The sequence below is a fragment of the Homo sapiens genome, chromosome 8 (assembly GCF_000001405.40).
Source record: "Homo sapiens chromosome 8, GRCh38.p14 Primary Assembly".
NCBI classification, from domain to species: Eukaryota; Metazoa; Chordata; class Mammalia; order Primates; family Hominidae; genus Homo; species Homo sapiens.
The window spans coordinates 90,083,924-90,104,614 of record NC_000008.11 but is presented as its reverse complement, the minus strand read 5'-3'; the positions used below and the strand labels follow the sequence as shown (position 1 = coordinate 90,104,614).

The 20,691-nt window shown below is 40.0% G+C and overlaps 4 annotated features.

The window, feature by feature from the left end:
- Positions 5,529-6,200: an enhancer, noted in NCBI's record as "H3K27ac-H3K4me1 hESC enhancer chr8:91110643-91111314 (GRCh37/hg19 assembly coordinates)". NCBI's record gives its function as "activates a minimal SCP1, AML or CMV promoter by ChIP-STARR-seq in naive H9 embryonic stem cells {active_cell/tissue: H9 hESC(naive)}" and the evidence as "EXISTENCE:reporter gene assay evidence [ECO:0000049][PMID:30033119]".
- Positions 6,201-6,873: an enhancer, noted in NCBI's record as "H3K27ac-H3K4me1 hESC enhancer chr8:91109970-91110642 (GRCh37/hg19 assembly coordinates)". NCBI's record gives its function as "activates a minimal SCP1, AML or CMV promoter by ChIP-STARR-seq in primed H9 embryonic stem cells {active_cell/tissue: H9 hESC(primed)}" and the evidence as "EXISTENCE:reporter gene assay evidence [ECO:0000049][PMID:30033119]".
- Positions 8,064-9,263: an enhancer, noted in NCBI's record as "CDK7 strongly-dependent group 2 enhancer chr8:91107580-91108779 (GRCh37/hg19 assembly coordinates)". NCBI's record gives its function as "activates an origin of replication core promoter dependent on BRD2, BRD4, P300/CBP, MED14 and CDK7 cofactors, with strong dependence on CDK7, by STARR-seq in HCT116 cells {active_cell/tissue: HCT116}" and the evidence as "EXISTENCE:reporter gene assay evidence [ECO:0000049][PMID:35650434]".
- Positions 8,561-9,098: an enhancer, noted in NCBI's record as "NANOG hESC enhancer chr8:91107745-91108282 (GRCh37/hg19 assembly coordinates)". NCBI's record gives its function as "activates a minimal SCP1, AML or CMV promoter by ChIP-STARR-seq in naive H9 embryonic stem cells {active_cell/tissue: H9 hESC(naive)}" and the evidence as "EXISTENCE:reporter gene assay evidence [ECO:0000049][PMID:30033119]".

The window sequence follows — 20,691 nt, the reverse complement described above, 5'->3', positions numbered from 1 at the left end:
ACCCCAGAACTTAAAAGTTGAAGGATAAATATTTTTTTTAATGGGCAAAAATCTGAATGGACATTTCTCTAAAGAAGGCCAAAGGGTATATAAAAAAGTCATCAACATCACTAATCATCAGGGAAATGCAAATCAAAACCACAATGAGATATCATCTCTTACCTATTAGAATGGCAATTATCAAAAAAAAAAAAAAAAAAGAATGGCGATTATCAAAAAGTCAAATGATAAGTATTGGTAAGGATGTGAACAAAGGCACACCTTTGTAAACTGGATGGTGAGAATGTGAATTGGCACAGACATTATGGAAAACAGTATGGAATTTTTTCAAAAAACTAAAAATAGAACTACTCCCATGATCCAGCAATCCCTGTTCTGGGTATATATCCAAAGAAATTGAAACTGGGATCTGAAAGAGACATCTGCACTCCCATGTTCATTGCAGCATTATTCACAGTAGCCAAGGTATGGAAACAACCTAAGTGTCCTTCAATGGATGAATGAATAAAGAAAAAGTGACTATTTTTCAGACATAAAAAAGAATGAAATCCCATCATGTGCAGCAACGTGGATGAAACTGGAAGACATTATGCTAAGTGAAATAAATCAGGCACAGAGAGACAAAAAACAAAACAAAACATATATGGTTAGCTAATTTTCAACAAGGGCACCACACATACACGATGGGGAAAGGATAATCTTTCAAAGAATGATGTTGGCTACAGTGGATAGCCACATGCAAAAGAATGAATTTGAACCTTTATTTTATACCATACACAAAAAATTAACTCAAAATGAATTTAAAACTTAAACATAAGACCGAAAACTGTAAGATTTCCAGAAGAAAGCATAGGAATAAAGCTTCCAGACATTGGTCCAGTGATGATTTTTTAGATATCACAAAAAACCCTCAGGCCACAGAAGCAAAAATAAATAAGTGGGGCTATGTCAAACTAAAAATCTTCTGCTCATCAAAGAAAAAAATCGACAAAATGAAAAGGCAACCTACATATTTGAAGAAAATATTTACAAACCATATAACCAGTAAAAGAATAATATCCAGGATAATATAAGGACCTCATACAACTCAACAAAAAATAAAAATAAATAATCCAATTAAAAAATAGACAAAGAATCTGAATAGAGAGAAGAAATACAAATGGCCCAGAGGTGTATGAGAAGATTCCCATCACCACTAATCATGAAGAAAATGCAAATCAAAACCACACTGAGATACCACCTCACACCTATTAGAATGAATATTATCAAACAGGCAAGAGATAAGTGTTAGAAAGGGTGTAAATATGTAACCAAAAGAAATGAAATTGTCATTCTGTAGAGATATTTGCACTTGCATGTTTATTGGAATATTATTCACAATAGCCAGGATATGGAAACAACCTAAATGTCCATTGATGGGTGAATGGATAAATTGCTGAATGTAATAAAATATAATATAATGTATACACACACAATGGAATATTATTCAAATTAAAAAAAAAGAAGATCCTGCCCTTTGCAACAACATGAGTGAAACTGAAAGACATTATGTTAAGTGACATAAGCCAGACACAGAAAGAAAACTACTGCATGATGTCACTTATATGTGGAAACTAAAAATGCTGAATACATAGAGTAGAGTATAATGGTGGTTATAAGTGGAAGGGGATAGGGAGATGTTGGTCAAAGGGTCCAAAGTTACAGTTATGTTGGATAAATAAGTCTAGAAATCTAATGTAAACTATGATTACTGTAATTAATAAATACTGTATTGTGTAATAAAATTTACCAAAAGAGTAAATTTCAGGTGTTCTTACCACACATATACACACAACAAGGTAATTATGTGAGAAAAATGATGTAATTTGTTTCACTGTAGTAATCATTTTAGTATATATAGGCATATCTTGTTTTATTGTATTTATTGCATGCCTCAGATCCTGCACTTCTTACTAATTAAACGTTTGTGACAACTTTGCTCCGAGCAAGTCTATTGGCACCATTTTTTCTAACAGCATGTGCTAGCTTTGTGTCTCTGTGCCACATTTTGATAACTCTTGCTATGTTTCAAACTTTATTATTACTATGTCTGTTATGGTGATCCATGATCTTTACTGTTACTATCATAATTGTTTGGGGGCACCATAAACCACACCACATGCAATGGTAAACTTCACTCTTGATCTTAGCCAAAAGGCCGAGAAGCAATTGAGATGACAAACTTAATCAATAAATGTGTGACTTCTGACTGCTCTACCAACCAGCTATTTCTCCAACTCTCTACCTCTCCTCATACTTTCATATTCACTGAGACACAAGAATACCGAGATCAGGCCAATTAAAATACCCCTATAATGGCCTCTAAGTGTTCAAGTGGAAGAAAAAGTTGCACATCTCTTACTTTAAAACATAAGCTAAAAATGGGTAAGCCTAGTGAGGAAGGCACTTCAAAAGCTGAGATAGGATGAAAGCCAGGCCTCTTGTGCCAGGTAGTCAAGTAGTGAATGCAAAGGAAAAGGCTTTGAAGAAAACTGAAAGTGGTACTCCCACGAAAAACACAAACGATGAGAAATCTAAATAGCCTTGTTTCTGGTACGGGAAAAATTTTGGTGGTCAGGATAAAAAGATCAAACTAGCCACAACATTTCCTCAAGCCAAGGCCTAATCCAGAGCAAAGCCTTCACTCTCTTCATTTCTACGAATTCTGATAGAGGTGAGGAAGCTGCAGAAGAAATGACTGAGGATAACAGAGGTTGGTTCATAAGGTTTAAGGAAAGAAGCTATCATCATAACATAAAAGTATAAGGTGAAGAAGGAAGTGCTGATATAGAAGCTGTAGAATGTTATCCAAAAGATCTGACTAAGATAATTGATAAAGGTGGCTACACTAAGCATACACTAAACACAGAATTTTTTTTTTTTTTTGAGACAGAGTCTTGCTCTGTCGCCCAGGCTGTAGTGCAGTGGCACGATCTTGGCTCACTGCAACCTCCACCTCCCTGGTTCAAGCAATTCCCCTGCCTCAGCCTCCCAAGTAGCTGGGATTACAGGTGTACACCACCAAACCTGGCTAACTTTTTTGTATTTTTAGTAGAGATGGGGTTCACCATGTTGGCCAGACTGGTCACGAACTCCTGACCTCAGGCAATCCGCCCACCTCAGCCTCCCAAAGTGCTGGGATTATAGGCGTAAGCCACCGTACCCAGCCAACAACAGATTTTTTTAATGTAGACAAAATGGCCTAGTATTGGGAGAAAATTCCATCTAGGACTTTCATAGCTAGAGAGAAGTCAATGACTGGCTTCAAATCTTTAAAGAACAGTCTGAATCTCTTGTTTAGGGCTAATGCATCTGGTGGCTCTAAATTGAAGTCTACATCTTTTATGATTTCAAAAATTCTAGAGCCCTTAAGAATTGCCCTAAGTCTACTCTGCCTATGCTCAATAAATGGAAAACAAAGCCGGATGACAGCACATCTGTTTACAGCATGGTTTACTGGATATTTTAAGCCCACTGTTGAGACCTACTGCTCTGAAAAAAAAAAATGATTCCTTTCAAAATTCCTGCTCATTGGCAATGCATCTGGGCTCTCAAGAGCTCTAACGGAGATGTACATGGAGATTAATTTTGTTTTCATGTCTGCTAACACAACAATTCTGTAGCCCATGGATGAAGGAGTAATTTCTAATTTCAAGTCTTATTATTTAAGAAATACATTTCATGATGCTATAGCTACCAAAGATAATAATTCCTCTGATGAATCTGGACAAAGTAAACTGAAACTTTCTGGAAAGAATTCACCATTCTAAATGCCATTAAAAACATTTGTGATTCATGGTAGAAGGTCAAAATATCCACATTAACAGGGATTTGAAAGAAGTTGATTCCAACCTCTGTGGATGACTTTGATTCAAGACTAGTGCAGGAAGTAACTGCAGACATAATGACAATAACGAGAGAACTAGAATTAGAAATGGAGCCTGGCCAGATGCAGTGGCTCACACCTGTAATCCCAGCACTTTGGGAGGCCTAGGCAAGAGGACTGCTTGAGGGCAAGAGTTCAAGACCATCTTGAGCAACATAGTGAGACCCTATCTCTACAAAAATCAAAAAATGAGGCATGCATAATGGCACATGCCTATGGTGCCAGCTGCTCAGGAGGCTGAGGCAGAAGGATTGTTTGAGCCCAGGAGGCTGAGGCTGCAGTGAGCTGTGTTCATGTAACTGCACTCCAGTCTGGGTGACAGAGTAAGATCTTGTCTCAGAAAAAAAAAAAAAAAAAATGTGACTGAATTGCTACAATCTCATGATTAAACTATAATAGATGTGGAGTTGCTTCTTATGGGTGAGCAAAGAAAGTAGTTTCTTGAGATCAGTCTACTCCTGGTAGCGATGCTGTGAACACTGTTGAAATGACAACAAAGAATTTAGAAGATTACATCAACTTAGTTGATAAAGCAGTGACAGGGTGTCAGAGGATTGCCTCCAATTTTGATAGAAGTTCTACTGTGCATAAGATGCTATCAGATAGCATCTCGTGCTATAGAGAAATCTTTTATGAAAGAAACGGTCAATAAATATGGCAAACTTAATTGTTGTCTTATTTTAAGAAATTGCCACAGCCATCCTAAACTTCAGCAACCACCACCCTGATCAGTCAGGAGCCATCAACATCAAGGCAAAACCCCTCCACTGGCAAAAAGGTGATGACTCACTGAAGGCTCAGGTGATCATTGGCATTTTTAGCAATAAAATATTTTTAAATTAAGGCAGGCACACTGGTTTTTTTTTTTTTTTGACATAGTGCTATTGCATACAAGAGACTACAGTATATTGGAAATATAATTTTATATGTGCTAGAAAAAAAATTTTGTGTGACTTGCTTTATTGTGAGATTGGCTTTATTGCTGTAGTCTGGAACTGAACTCACATCTCTGATGTATGCCTGTGTATACATATCAAAACATATTATTTACCATATATAAAATAAATATGCTTATAAAAATAACTCAGAGAGATAGAAATTATTTTTAAAAAGAAAAGGATGAAATAGAAATTTGGGGTTGAAAATTACAATAACTAAAATGAAAAATTCACTCAAGAGGCTCAACAGCAAATTTGAGATGACAGAAGGGAGAATCAATGACTTGACAATAGAACTGTAGTTATAATTCAGTCTGAATAGCAGAGAAAAAAGATTGAAGAAAAGTCAACAGAACTTCAAAGGCCTTTGGAACAACATCAACCATACTAAGCATGTGTAATTAGAGTCCAAGGTGGAGAGCAAAAAGAGAAAAAAATAGAAAAAAAAATTAATAATGACCAAAAATTCCAAAGTTTAATGAAAAATATTAATCTACATATTCAAGAAGCTCAATGAACTTTAAGCAGGATAAAGTTTCTACACCCAGATGTGTCATAGTTAAACTGATGAAAGATAAAGACAAAGAAAAAATCTTGAAAGTAGTAAAATTGCTCATCATATGCAGTTAGAAAGAAGAAAAGAAAAAAAAGGCAAAACAAACCACATATATGATCTGTGTATCTGTGTGTCACTTCAAGTGATACACAGAAAGTGTTTAACAAAATCTGACACCAATTGATAATTTCAAAACTCTTAAACTGGGAAAAGAACCTACCTAAACTGATCAAGGACAGCTATGAAAAAAAACTACAGCTAATATCACACTTAACGAGAACACCAAATGTGATGGCAGTGGCCATCACGCTGGCTGCAGTAAGGAGGCATGGCTCAGGCTGCACGCACCATGGAGCCGGTGGCAGCCCCACCCCTTCTGAGTTGGAGCTGCAGCTCTTCCCGTGCCACTGCAGCTGCCCAAACCCAGCTGCAGACCCAGGCCTCCTGCTCTATGGAGCAAGCAGAAGCCCCTTCCTCCTGGATGGGACTACAGCTGCCCAAACTGCAGCCCTCGATGGGAGCCTCCTTGTGCTCTTGGGGAAGGCCTGGAGCAGGCTGGATCTGCCTTCCCAGGTGCGGCTGCGGCCACCCTCCTAGGCGCAGGACCTGGGCGTCTCTGCACCCTGCACCCTAGAGGGCTGCAGGAAGGACCCTCCCCCGTCGCAGGTTCGGGGGTGTCTGCTCCCACTGCCTGGCCTCTCTCTGCTTCTGATGCTGGTTCTGATCTTGAAGTGGGGTTGGGGCAGTGACCCGGGGCCTTGAATTTGAATGGCAGTGGGAGGCAGAAAGAGTCCTGGGTGGAAGGGGGTAGGTCCCCAGTAAGTCTCCACCTTCAGGACAGGGAGGGCCTGAAGGCTGAGGGCCAGGTGGCCAGTCCGTCACCAGAGTGGGAACTCATGGTGCCTCTCTGGGCCCGCCCATGGCCACCCATGGGCCAATCCCCATGCACTTCCTCCCCTCTGAGGTCTATAAGAGCCCTGGGCTCAGCCAGAGCAGTGCAGAGTATGGCCAGAGGACCCAGAGAGTAGAGAGAGTTCATGGGACTGGGTGACCAGCTTCAATGAGACGTACCCTCTCTGCTGATAGCTGGAGACAATGGGACGACTAACTGCAGAGAAGAGCACCCTCTCCGCCGAGAGCTGCAGAGACGACCTGCAGGCAGAGAGGAGCTACCCTCTGCACTGAGAGCTTCACAGACCCGGAGAGACTCCCGCGGAGAGGAGCCACCTCTCCAGGACCTCCTCTCTGATGAGAGAGGAGTACCCTCTGGGACAAGAGCTGCAGAAATTACCTGCCGGCAGAGAGGATCTACCCACTCTACTGAGAGCTTCAGAGACCTCTAGAGACACCTGTGGAGAGGAGCCATCCTCTCCAGGGCCTCCTCTCTGCTGAGAGCTGCAGAGACAACCTCTCCAGGGACTCCTCAGCTGAGAGAGGAGTGCCCTCTCCGCCAAGAGCTGCAGGGACGACTTGCTGGCAGAGAGGAGCTACCCTCTCGGCTGAGAGCTTCAGAGACCTGCAGAGATGCCTGCGGAGAGGAGCCACCCTCTCCAGAACCTCCTCTCTGCTGAGAGCTGAACACTCGACGGGACGACCTGTCCACAGAGAGGAGCTACCTACTCCTCAGAGTTGTTCTGACACTAAGTAAAACTCTTCTTCTTCACTCTTCACTTGTCTGCACACCTCATTCTTCCTGGGTGCAGGACAAGAACTTGGGCAAAGGCGCAGTGGCCACAGAGGTTTCTGGCCAGAAAAATCGACACCCCAGAGATCCCGGAACATTTTCTTCCTAAGAACAAGAACAAGGCAGAGATGTCCCCACCCACGTCTTCTATTCAAATTGTTCCGGAGGAGTCTGAGGAAAACTAGGGGCAGGAAATGGAGGATAAGGAAAAGAAGAGGAAGGGGAATAAGAAGAAGGAGGAGGAGGAGGAGGCAGTAAAGGGTGGGAGGAGGAAGAGGAGGAAAAGAAGAAAAGAAATTCTGGTTTAAAATGAAGAAGTCAAAATGCCTATTGCAGGTAAAATGATCCAATATGTAGAAAATCCTAAGGAAGCCACACACACACACAAAATTACTAAGAACTTGAATGAGTTTTACAATGTCACAGAACATAAGATCAACATAAAAAATCAGTTGTACTTCTACCATACTACCAGTGAACAATCTGAATATGAAATTTAAAAATGATTTTATTTAAAATAGTATCAAATGAATTCAATATTCAGAAATAAATTTAATGAAAGAATGCAAGATTTATAGACTAAAAACTGCAAAATATTTCTGAGAGAAATTAAAGATCTAAGTAAATGAAAAGATAATTCATAATGACATATAGATTAAATATTGTTAACATGGAAATTCTCTAACAAATTGATCTACAGATTCAACACAGTCCCTGTCAAATTATAGCAGGCTTTTGTGTAGAATTGCCAACGTGACCCAAAATTTTAAGGAAATGCAAAGGACCTAACAATGTCAAAGCAATTTTTGAAAAAGAAGAAAAATAATGGAAAATGTACACTACTCAAGGTCAAAACATACAATAAAGTTAATCAGGACAGTGTAGTATCATTATAAGGATAGGCATTAACATCAATAGGACAGGAATGAGTGTCCAGAAATAAATCCTTTTATTTATAATCAATTAATTTTCAACAAATATATCAAGATGAATAAATATAAAGAGAACAATCTTTTCAACAAATGATGGTAGGAAATTTTGAGATCCATATGCAAATGAGTAATCTTAGACCCTTACCTCACATCATACACAAAAATGAACTCCAAATTGATTGTAGACGTAAATGTAAGAACTAGAATGTAAAAACTAAATGATAATTTAGAAAAAAAATTTGTGGCATGGGATTAAAATCTCTTAGATGCTACACTAAAACATAAGCCATAAAAAGAAAAAAAAAAGATAAATTTTATTAAAACAAAACTTTTGCACTTTAAAAGACACCACTGTTAACAAAATAAAAAGACTAGTAACAGACTGGGGTGAAATATTTGCACATCACATATTTGATGGAATACTTATATACATTATAAATAAAGAGCACTTAATAGTCACAGGAAGAAAAACAACCCAATTTACAAAAGAACCAAGGCTTGAATAGACATTTCACCAAAGTAGGCATCTGATTGACTAATAAGAACATGAAAAGTGCTCAAAATCATTAATCATAAGAGAAATGTTCATTAGAGCCATGATGAGATACCACTACACATCGACTACAATGGCTATACTCAAAAACACAGACAATAACAACCGCTGGTGAGAATGTGGAGAAACTAAAATTTTCAAGAATTGTTAATGGGATTTGTCAGGCCTCTGAGCCCAAGCCAAGCCATCACATCCCCTGTGACTTGCACGTATACACCCAGATGGCCTGAAGTAACTGGAGAATCACAAAAGAAGTGAAAAGGCCCTGCCCCGCCTTAACTGATGACATTCCACCATTGTGATTTGTTCCTGCCCCACCTTAACTGAGTGATTAACCCTGTGAATTTCCTTGTCCTGGCTCAGAGGCTCCCCCACTGAGCACCTTGTGACCACTGCCCCTGCCCACCAGAGAACAACCCCCTTTGGCTGTAATTTTCCATTACCTTTCCAAATCCTATAAAACGGCCCCACCCCTATCTCCCTTCGCTGACTCTCTTTTTGGACTCAGCCCACCTGCACCCAGGTGAAATAAACAGCCATGTTGCTCACACAAAGCCTGTTTGGTGGTCTCTTCACATGGACGCACATGAAATTTGGTGCCGTGACTCAGATCAGGGGACCTCCCTTGGGAGATAAATCCCCTGTCCTCCTGCTCTTTGCTCTGTGAGAAAGATCCACCTACGACCTCAGGTCCTCAGACCGACCAGCCCAAGAAACATCTCACCAATTTCAAATCTGGTAAGTGGCCTCTTTTTACTCTCTTCTCCAGCTTCCCTCACTATCCCTCAACCTCTTTCTCCTTTCAATCTTGGCGCCACACTTCAATCTCTCCCTTCTCTTAATTTCAATTCCTTTCATTTTCTGGTAGAGAGAGACAAAAGAGACACGTTTTATCCATGGACCCAAAACTCCGGTGCTGGTCACGGACTGGGAAGGCAGCCTTCCCTTGGTGTTTAATCATTGCAGAGATGCCTGATTATTCACCCACGTTTCAAAGGTGTCAGACCACGCAGGGACGCCTGCCTTGGTCCTTCACCCTTAGCAGCAAGTCCCGCTTTTCTGGGGAAGAGGCAAGTACCCCAATCCCTTCTCTCCTTGTCTCTACCCCTTCTCTGCTTTTCTGGGGGAGGGACAAGTACCCCTCAACTGCTTCTCCTTCACCCTTAGCGGCAAGTCCCGCTTTTCTAGGGGGCAAGAACCCCCAATCCCTTATTTCCACACCCCAACCTCTTATCTCTGTGCCCCAATTCCTTATTTCCATGCCCCAACCCTTTCTCTGCTTTTCTGGAGGGCAAGAAACCCCCACCCCTTCTCCGTGTCTCTACTCTTTTCTCTGGACTTGCCTCCTTCACTATGGGCAAGCTTCCACCTTCCATTCCTCCTTCTTCTCCCTTAGCCTATATTCTTAAGAACTTAAAACCTCTTCAACTCTCACCTGACCTAAAATCTGAGCATCTTATTTTCTTCTGCAATGCGCTTGACCCCAATACAAACTCGACAGTAGTTCCAAATAGCCGGAAAATGGCACTTTGAATTTTTCCATCCTACAAGATCTAAATAATCCTTGTCATAAAATGGGCAAATGGTCTGAGGTGCCTGACGTCCAGGCATTCTTTTACACATCAGTCCCTTCCTAGTCTCTGTGCCCAGTGCAACTCGTCCCAAATCTTCCTTCTTTCCCCCCTCCGCCTGTCCCCTCAGTCCCAACCCCAAGCGTTGCTGAGTCTTTCTAATCTTCCTTTTCTACAGACCCATCTGACCCCTCCCCTCCTCGCCAGGCCAAGCTAGGTCCCAATTCTTCCTCAGCCTCCGCTCCTCTACCCTGTAATCTTTTTATCGCCTCCCCTCCTCACACCTGGTCCGGCTTACAGTTTCTTTCTGTGACTAGCCCTCCCCCACCTGCCCAGCAATTTACTCTTAAAAAGGTGGCTGGAGCCAAAGGCATAGTCAAGGTTAATGCTCCTTTTTCTTTATCCCAAATCAGAAGCGTTTAGGCTCTTTTTTATCAAATATAAAAACCCAGCCCAGTTCATGGCTCGTTCGGCAGCAATCCTGAGACGTTTTACAGCCCTAGACCCTAAAAGGTCAAAAGGCCATCTTATTCTCAATATACATTTTATTACCCAATCTGCTCCTGACATTAAATAAAACTCCAAAAATTAGAATCTGGCCCTCAAACCCCACAACAGGACTTAATTAACCTCACCTTCAAGGTGTACAATAATAAAAAAAAAAATTGCAATTCCTTGCCTCCACTGTGAGACAAACCCCAGCCACATCTCCAGCACACAAGAACTTCCAAACGCCTGAACCGCAGCGGCCAGGCGTTCCTCCAGAACCTCCTCCCCCAGGAGCTTGCTACAAGTGCCAGAAATCTGACCACCAGGCCAAGGAATGCCTGCAGCCCAGGATTCCTCCTAAGCCATGTCCCATCTGTGCGGGACCACACTGGAAATCGGACTGTTCAACTCACCTGGCAGCCACTCCCAGAGCCCCTGGAACTCTGGCCCAAGGCTCTCTGACTGACTCCTTCTTGGCTTAGCGGCTGAAGATTGATGCTGCCTCATTGCCTCAGAAGCCCCATAGACCATCACGGACGCCAAGCTTCCGGTAACTCTCACAGTGGAGGGTAAGTCCGTCCCCTTCTTAATCAATACAGAGGCTACCCACTCCACATTACCTTCTTTTCAAGGGCCTGTTTCCCTTGCCTCCATAACTGTTGTGGGTATTGACGCCAGGCTTCTAAACCTCTTAAAACTCCCCAACTCTGGTGCTAACTTAGACAATACTCTTTTATGCACTCTTTTTTAGTTATCCCCACCTGCCCAGTTCCCTTATTAGGCCGAGATATTTTAACCAAATTATCTGCTTCCCTGACTATTCCTGGATATAGCCACATCTCATTGCTGCCCTTCTTCTCAATCCAAAAGCCTCCTTTGCTTCCTCCTCTTGTATTCCCCCACCTTAACCCACAAGTATAAGATACCTCTACTCCCTCCTTGGCGACCGATCACCCACCCCTTACCATCTCATTAAAACCTAATCACCCTTACCCCACTCAATGCCAATATCCCATCCCACAGCAAGCTTTAAAAGGATTAAAACCTGTTATCACTTGCCTGCTACAGCATGGGCTTCTAAAACCTATAAACTCTCCTTACCATTCCCCCATTTTACCTGTCCTAAAACCAGACAAGCCTTACAAGTTAGTTCAGAATCTGCGCCTTATCAAACAAATTGTTTTGCCTATCCACTCTATGGTGCCAAACCCATATACTCTCCTATCCTCAATACCTCCCTCTACTACCCATTATTCTGTTCTGGATCTCAAACATGCTTTCTTTACTATTCCTTTGCACCCTTCATCCCAGCCTCTCTTTGTCTTCACTTAGACTGACCCTGACACCCATTAGGCTCAGCAAATTACCCGGGCTGTACTGCCGCAAGGCTTCACAGACAGCCCCCAATACTTCAGTCAAGCCTAAATTTCATCCTCATCTGTTACCTATCTCGGCATAATTCTCATAAAAACACACGTGCTCTCCCTGCTGATCATGTCCGATTAATCTCCCAAACCTCAATCCCTTACTAAAGAACAACTCCTTTCCTTCCTAGGCATGGTTAGTGCGGTCAGAATTCTTACACAAGAGCCAGGACCACATCGTGTAGCCTTTCTGTCCAAACAACTTGACCTTACTGTTTTAGCCTAGCCCTCATGTCTGCGTGCAGCGGCTGCCGCTGCTTTAATACAGTTAGAGGCCCTAAAAATCACAAACTATGTTCAACTCACTCTCTACATTTCTCATAACTTCCAAAATCTATTTTCTTCCTCATACCTGACGCATATACTTTCTGCTCCCCGGCTCCTTCAGCTGTACTCACTCTTTAAGTCCCACAATTACCATTGTTCCTGCCCCGGACTTCAATCTGGCCTCCCACATTATTCCTGATGCCACACCTGACCCCCATGACTATCTCTCTGATCCACCTGATATTCACCCCATTTCCCCATATTTCCTTCTTTCTTGTTCCTCACCCTGATCATGCTTGATTTATTGATGGCAGTTCCACCAGGCCTAATCGCCACACACCAGCAAAGGCAGGCTATGCTATAGTACAAGCCACTAGCCCGCCTCTCAGAACCTCTCATTTCCTTTCCATCGTGGAAATCTATCCTCAAGGAAGTAACTTCTCAGTGTTCCATCTGCTATTCTACTACTCCTCAGGCATTATTCAGGCCCCCTCCCTTCCCTACACATCAAGCTCGAGGATTTGCCCCCACCCAGGACTGGCAAATTAGCTTTACTCAACATGTCCTGAGTCAGGAAACTAAAATACCTCTTAGTCTAAATAGACACTTTCACTGAATAAGTAAAGGCCTTTCCTACAGGGTCTGAGAAGGTCACCACAGTCATTTCTTCCCTTCTGTCAGACATAATTCCTCAGTTTAGCCTTCCTACCTCTATACAGTCTGATAACAGACCAGCCTTTATTAGTCAAATCAGCCAAGCAGTTTTTCAAGCTCTTAGTATTCAGTGAAACCTTTATATCCTTTACGGTCCTCCGTCTTCAAGAAAAGTAGAACGGACTAAAGGTCTTTTAAAAACACACCTCACCAAGCTCAGCCACCAACTTAAAAAGGACTGGACAATACTTTTATCACTTTCACTTCCCAGAATTCAGGCCTGTCCTCAGAATGCTACAAGGTACAGCCCATTTAAGCTCCTGTATAGACAGACGCTCCTTTTTATTAGGCCCCAGTCTCATTTGACACCAGACCAACTTAGACTGTGCCCCAAAAAAACTTGTCATCCCTACTATCTTTTGTCTAGTCATACTCCTATTCACCATTCTGAACTACATGCCCTGCTCTTGTTTACACTGCCGGTTTACACTGTTTCTCCAAGCCATCACAGCTGATATCTCCTGGTGCTATCCCCAAACTGCCACTCTAAACTCTTGAAGTAAATAAATAATCTTTGCTGGCAGGACTATGCTGAATCTCCTTAGGCACTCTCTAATCAGATGTCCTAGGTCCTCCCAATTCTTAGACCTTTTATACCTGTTTTTCTCCTTCTCTTATTCCATTTAGTTTTTTAATTCATACAAAACCGTATCCAGGCCATCACCAATCATTCTATACGACAAATGTTCCTTCTAACAACCCCACAATATCACCCCTTACCACAAGATCTTCCTTCAGCTTAATCTCTCCCACTCTATGTTCCCACACTGCCCCTAATCCCGCTTGAAGCAGCCCTGAGAAAAATCGCCCATTCTCTCTCCATACCACCCCCAAAAATTTTCGCCGCCCCAACACTTCAACACTATTTTGTTTAATTTTTCTTATTAATATAAGAAGGCAGGAATGTCAGGCCTCTGAGCCCAAGCCAAGCCATCACATCCCCTGTGACTTGCACGTATACACCCAGATGGCCTGAAGTAACTGGAGAATCACAAAAGAAGTGAAAAGGCCCTGCCCCGCCTTAACTGATGACATTCCACCATTGTGATTTGTTCCTGCCCCACCTTAACTGAGTGATTAACCCTGTGAATTTCCTTGTCCTGGCTCAGAGTCTCCCCCACTGAGCACCTTGTGACCCCCGCCCCTGCCCACCAGAGAACAACCCCCTTTGACTGTAATTTTCCATTTCCTTTCCAAATCCTATAAAACGGCCCCACCCCTATCTCCCTTCGCTGACTCTCTTTTTGGACTCAGCCCACCTGCACCCAGGTGAAATAAACAGCCATGTTGCTCACACAAAGCCTGTTTGGTGGTCTCTTCACATGGACGTGCATGAAAGGATTATAAATCATAAAGCCACTTTGGCAAAAAGTTTGAAAAATTTTTTGAAAGTTAAATCTAAATGTATCTTATGGTTTAACAATTCTATTTCTGATAACCTACCCGGGATAAATTAGAACATTTGCCCACAGTTTTGTATGTGAATGTTCATAGCTGCATTATTTATAATAATGCATAACAGGAAGCAATCCAAATGTCTACTAACTGGTAAATGAATAGACAAAATATTCTGTATCTATAAAATGGAATACTATTGTATAGATAGAGCACATAAATAGTAATAAAAATGTAAGGGATATACAATAGAATAGTGCACAGGCATAAAAAGGAATGTATTAACAGCATTTGCAGTGACTTGGATGAGATTGGAGACTATTATTCTAAGTGAAGTAACTCAGAATGGAAAACCAAACATCATATGTTCTCACTGATATGTGGGAGCTAAGCTATGAGGACGTAAAGACATAAGAATGATACAATGGACTTTAGGGACTTAGGGGGAAGAGTGAGGTGGGGCGGTGAGGGATAGAAAACTACAAATATGGTGCAGTGTCTACTGCTCGGGTGATGGATGCACCAAAAATTCACGAATCACCACTAAAGAACTTACTCATGTAACCAACTACCACCTGTACCCCAATAACTTATGGAAATTTTTTTTTTAAAGTAAGGAAATGTTGATACATGTTACAATGTGGATAAACCTTAACAACATTAGAAGCTAAATGCAAAAGACTGCACAATGGATGATTCCATTTATATAGAATGTCCAGAAAAGTAAAATTTATAGAAACAGAAGTGAATCAGTGGATGCCTGGGGCTGGAGGAGTGTAAGTAGAGATTTACAAGCAGCAGGCCTAATATAAATGCAGGAGGTGAAGGAAAAGTTCTAAAACTGTATTTTGATGGTGGTTTCCCATGCTATAAACTTATTAAAAAATCAATGAATTATACACTTAAAATGGGTGAACTTTCAATAAATCTATTAAAACTACTAAATATTTAAGCAGTGTTCTTCAACGATGCTGGCACATTTGGACCATGTGGATAATTTTAAAATTTATGTCTGTGTCCCATTCTTTGATATTTTGATTTAATATTCTTACAATTGGGCATTGAGTTTTTTTTAAGCTGAGTGATTCTAATACGCAGCCATATTGGAGAACCACTGCAATAAAGTATTGTCCTTCCTTGAGGTCATTAATATATGGTATGCTAATCTTACTATTCTAACTCTCAGTTAATTTATTTAACATCTTGTTAAACACTCACTATGTACTAGGCACAATATTTGACACAAAGGAGACAAAAAATTAGGAACACTTCATTTCTGTCTTTATGGACTCATGGACAAGGGAGAAGTACAATCCTAAAGGTATATCAATGTAATAAATTTTATAATAAAAGTAAGTACAAGGTTAGTGGAAGTACAAATAAAGGAATGATCAGTTTTGAGCAACAAAAGAAAAGGTCAGGAAAAGCTTAAGATGTAGTGATTCTTCATCCTGGAAGATTAGAGGGAGAGGAAATGGCAGACAAAAATATTCAAAGAACTGAATATTTGGAGAAAAGCAAGTAATTCAGTACAGCCTTAAAAAAAATGAGGTGGGGGGAGAATATTGAGAAAACTGATATCAGAGGACAAGTGAAATTAGAGGGTATTTCATATGCCATACCATGGGAAACCACTGGATGAAAGGACATGGTCATGTATGTATTTTAGAAAGAGCACACTCACCAGGTGTGTTGGCATGTGCTGGTAGTCCCAGCTACTTGGGAGGCTGAGACAGAGGATCATTTCAGCTCAAGGGTTCTGGGCTACAGTGTGCTATGCAAATTGGATGTCTGCACTAACTTCAGTATCAATATGGTTATCTCCCAGAGCAGGGGACCAACCGGTTGTCTAAGGAGGGATTTAAAGTTGGGCCTTTGAAACCACTTTATAAATAACTGTCCAATAGTTGAGAGTCCAGGCAGGGAAGACAGAGAATAGCAAACTACTCAAAGATACTCTACAGACAGAAGTATTACCCTTGGCGAGAGGCCAAGAGAGAACAAGCTGGCACAGTCTATACCTGGGCAAGGCTGCTGATGGATAATACTCCAAAAGAAAAATGCTGAAGAAGGAAGGAAAGGAAATTTCCCAAAAAAGAGAATAACATGAGCAAAGACATTCTCAAAATATATAAGATTTTTTAAATTTTATTTTTTTGTGACTAGAGAGTTGAATATTATAGAACAGTGTTGCAAATAAGGCAGAAAATATATTACAAAGTTCTTTGGAGTCCAGGCTTATGGACTTAAAATCTATTCTTCATGCAAATGGTACCCACTGAAATTTTTGAAGATTAACAAATTTGCTCAAGTTTAAAATACAATCGATTTAAGATGCATGATTATCATATATCAATTTGCCAATTATAGAGCATTGGCTATAAGATGCATCACATATCAGAGATAAAATATGAAAAGTGGAGTTTAAAATTGATGAAAAAATTGGTATCAATGGCAGAAGCCTGATGACTTTAGGTAACTACATAAAAACTATAAAATCTGACTCATTTTTATATCGTTTTTTCTTTATATATGAGGGGATTCTCTATCTTTGAAGAGTGAAAATATAATTAATGTAAATTAAAATATTTGTAACAGTATTTTCTAGCTTTTGTAATTCAGGTGGTTAGATGAATTTAATGAGGCCAAGGACTTCAAAATTATCCCAAGTGTGCCAGTTAATAACCAGGAAAATCATTTTTGCTCAAGGCCACAGTCTATAATCCTTTCTAGAAATCAATTTTGCAAATGCATACTACTTATCACAAAACTACCAGAGTAGGCACAGTCACAAAATTATAGAATTAAAGAGGTGGAAGAGATCACAGAATTTATAAAGTCAAAACACCCTCAGTGTGTATATCCCCTCCAAGACACTCCCAGTAGAAGCTGGCCATTCAGCTTCTACTTCTACATTCTTCCCTGCAAACTGTAATCCTGTGAGGTCCAAGACTCTGTCTTGCTTACTGTGGTAGCATCCTGAATAATATACTGTAGTCAATAAATATTTCTGAGTAAGTGAATGAGTGTTCTTATGGGGGAATTGTACCATTCATGCAGTAGTACCCATTGCTGTAGAAGAGCTCAAATTTGAGAAGTATTTTTAAAGGGCAGTAAAAGTCACCTCTGGTGTCTCTGAGAAAATCTGCCACCTCTTCTTATGTAAGCCTTGCAAATACTTGCAGGCAGCAACTCCAAGCCACACTTTCCTATTTCAGTCCACAGTTTGCCACATATCATTGTTTCCAAGACTTTCTACTGTGCCCTATATGAGCTACATTTGGTCAGTTTAAAAAAAAAAAAAAAAAAAACTTCTGGTGCCCAGAATGAAATAATTATTTACCTAGCCAGCCCAGGCGACAGACTTCTCTGACCAAATGTATGCAAATCCCTCGCTTTGGGGGAAAAGTTCTTCAAATGGCAGTATCATGCTGATGAGGGATCTTTCAGGGAACATTAATAGGTAAAACTGTGAACTCCCCCAGCAGGCTTCATTCATCTATTAAGGACACCTCCGTGAGGGACTAGGATGCCAAGAGAGAGTGATGCATTATACTCCTCATCCAATTAAACCCATAGTAAAATATTTTGGAGGGTTTTCTTTCCTGAGTGGAGGCTAAGAAAGCATTCATTAAACCTGGGAAGTTCTAAGTCTTCCAATTTGCATAGTGAATTGGAACTGTGGTAGCCTGAATATGAATGGAGATGTGGTAATTCAGTAACATGAAATGGGAAATGCAGTTTAATTACCCCAGAGATTTTTTTTTGGAACATAAATTGCTTCTACTTTTGTAACAATATTGGATTATGAACCCATTCACCTTGATGTTGTGTAATGAAGCCTATAAAGCAAGTCATAAAAATGCTTTGTTTGCAATGCTGTTTTTAGAAACTCCAATCTTATGGAAAAATCTTCTCATTATTGAAAGCATTTGTAGTCTCCCCAGAATCCTAGAAATTAAAAGATTCCTGAGCGCAAGGTCCTTCCTACCTAGTTAATGAACGAGGGAAGAAATATTCCTCAAGTTACCTCAAATCTGTAGATCTGGATTATACAGTTCTTTACTACTACCATAAAGTATAATTTAATCTAGAAATGGCCCAAATATACATCTGAAAAGAGATATTGATTTGAAGTGACAGTCCAGGACCAATAACAATTTTAAGGGAAAACACTTTTTATGAAATTACATTTCTGCCATTAGAAAAAATATCTGAAGAATAACAAGTTCACCTTAGAAAACCAAAAGGTAAATTTTAAAAAATTAATATTGAATGAAAATTAAAGGAAGAATAACAATCTACTTTTTACTTATTACATTAGTATAAAGTTTAAAAAGCAATAACATTCAGAGTTAATGAGGATAAATCATCCTCAGACTTTGGACATTTGAGTATAAATTGCTACAAATTGAAGCAAATAATTTGGAAATGTGTATTAAAATCTAAAATATGCATTCTATTAACTAAAAATACTGCTTTTGGGACTCTGCCCTGTTGTATTCAGAAACATGTATAGCTAATATAAATGTATAAAGGTGTTTATTGCAGCATTGTGTGTCACAGTGTACTACTAGAAATAGATCCGTATATCTGTAATTATAGTTAATTAATAAAATATTAAACTGTAAAAAGTATACATTAGATGTTGATGTTAATACTGGAGGGATGCCCTTGAATTAATAATAGAAAGTTGAAGGATAATATACAAAACATAGTCCCTTTTCTGTAAAACCAGATAACAACAACAAAAAAAAAACCTTTAGATATGGATTTGTATATTTCCATAAGCATGGCTCTTTTAGTGTTGATTACCTCATGGTAGGGGCAGCACTAAACTGCTTTAGAGCTCCATAATCTACATTAGTTCCCTCAAAAGCCACTTCATATAAACATAAAAAGAACACACAAAAAAAACTATGTCCAAACTTGCTGTTTGGACATAGTTCCAAGGAAGTCTCCCATTTATTTCTCACTCTCTCTCAAGTCACAGCACCTATACATTTCTAAATGGAAATTTGGAAGTTGCCATAGCTTCAGGAAAGTGAATAAGAAAAAAGATTACTTTCATATAAATATTTTTAACTTTTACAAATTGTCTTGTAATACTTTTGGAAGTTAAGATAAAATTCTAAAAAACCAACAAACAGATTATGGTGAAAATGTTTAGGAATTTTTACCACAGTGTGTGGTCTCTTTTTAGGAAGAAAATTAATTTTAATTACTTTTTAAAATAGTAGAAATGTTGCTCTTTTTTCATCAGTTTGTTCAGTCCATATTCCTACATACTTTTTCTAGCATTTTTCTTTGTCTCAGAACTGTATCCAAAGTCTAGACATTGTTAGCTCTGTCAAGACTAGCAAGGGTCAGAGTGATTCTTCAAGTCATTCCTTAGTCACTGCATTCTCACTCTCTCTTCAAAGTTTATTCTCTAGCGCTGGTCTCCAAGTTCACACACTATATTTTTCACACAGCGACCCTGGCCACTAACATAGGACCAATAGGACCATCAGTGAGAATCAGATGAGGTATCATAAGTAAAAATAATGTATGAACTGGAAAGTACTATGGAAGTGAGGATTCCATTAAGAAGATTATTGAAATAGGCTAGCTTCAAATTGATGGGTCTCTGAAAAGGATACTTACAAAAAAACTCCACAAATATAATAATGGATAGAGCCCTAATCTCAAAAACATAAATTTGAGGGGTCCCAAACTCAATTACACAAGGTTAAGAATATAGAGCTTGGTAAATTCTCTCTCTCTCTTTTTTTTTTTGGAGACAGAGTCTTGCTCTGTCACCAGGCTGGAGTGCAGTGGCGTGATCTTGGCTCACTGCAACCTCCGCCTCCCAGGTTCAAGCCATTCTCCTGCCTCAGCCTCCCAAGTAGTTCAGATTACAGGTGCCCACCCCCATGCCCAGCTAATTTTTGTATTTTTAGTAGAGACGGGATTTCACCATGTTGGCCAGGATGGTCTCGATCTCGTGACCTTGTGATCTGCCTGCCTCGGCCTTCCAAAGTGCTGGGATTACAGGCGTGAGCCACCGCGCCCGGCCGGTAAATTCATTTTAATTCACTTTAAGCTTATATTGGCTATGTGTAGATTTTCTCTTGTTCCTTCATTTTGTTTTAGTACAATTGTAATTAGACTTTTGGGATACATTTTTAGTGGACTTCAAGGTCCAAAAGACTCAAAGCCAAATACTCCAGAAGTACTTATGTAAATAAGAAATAATCCAAG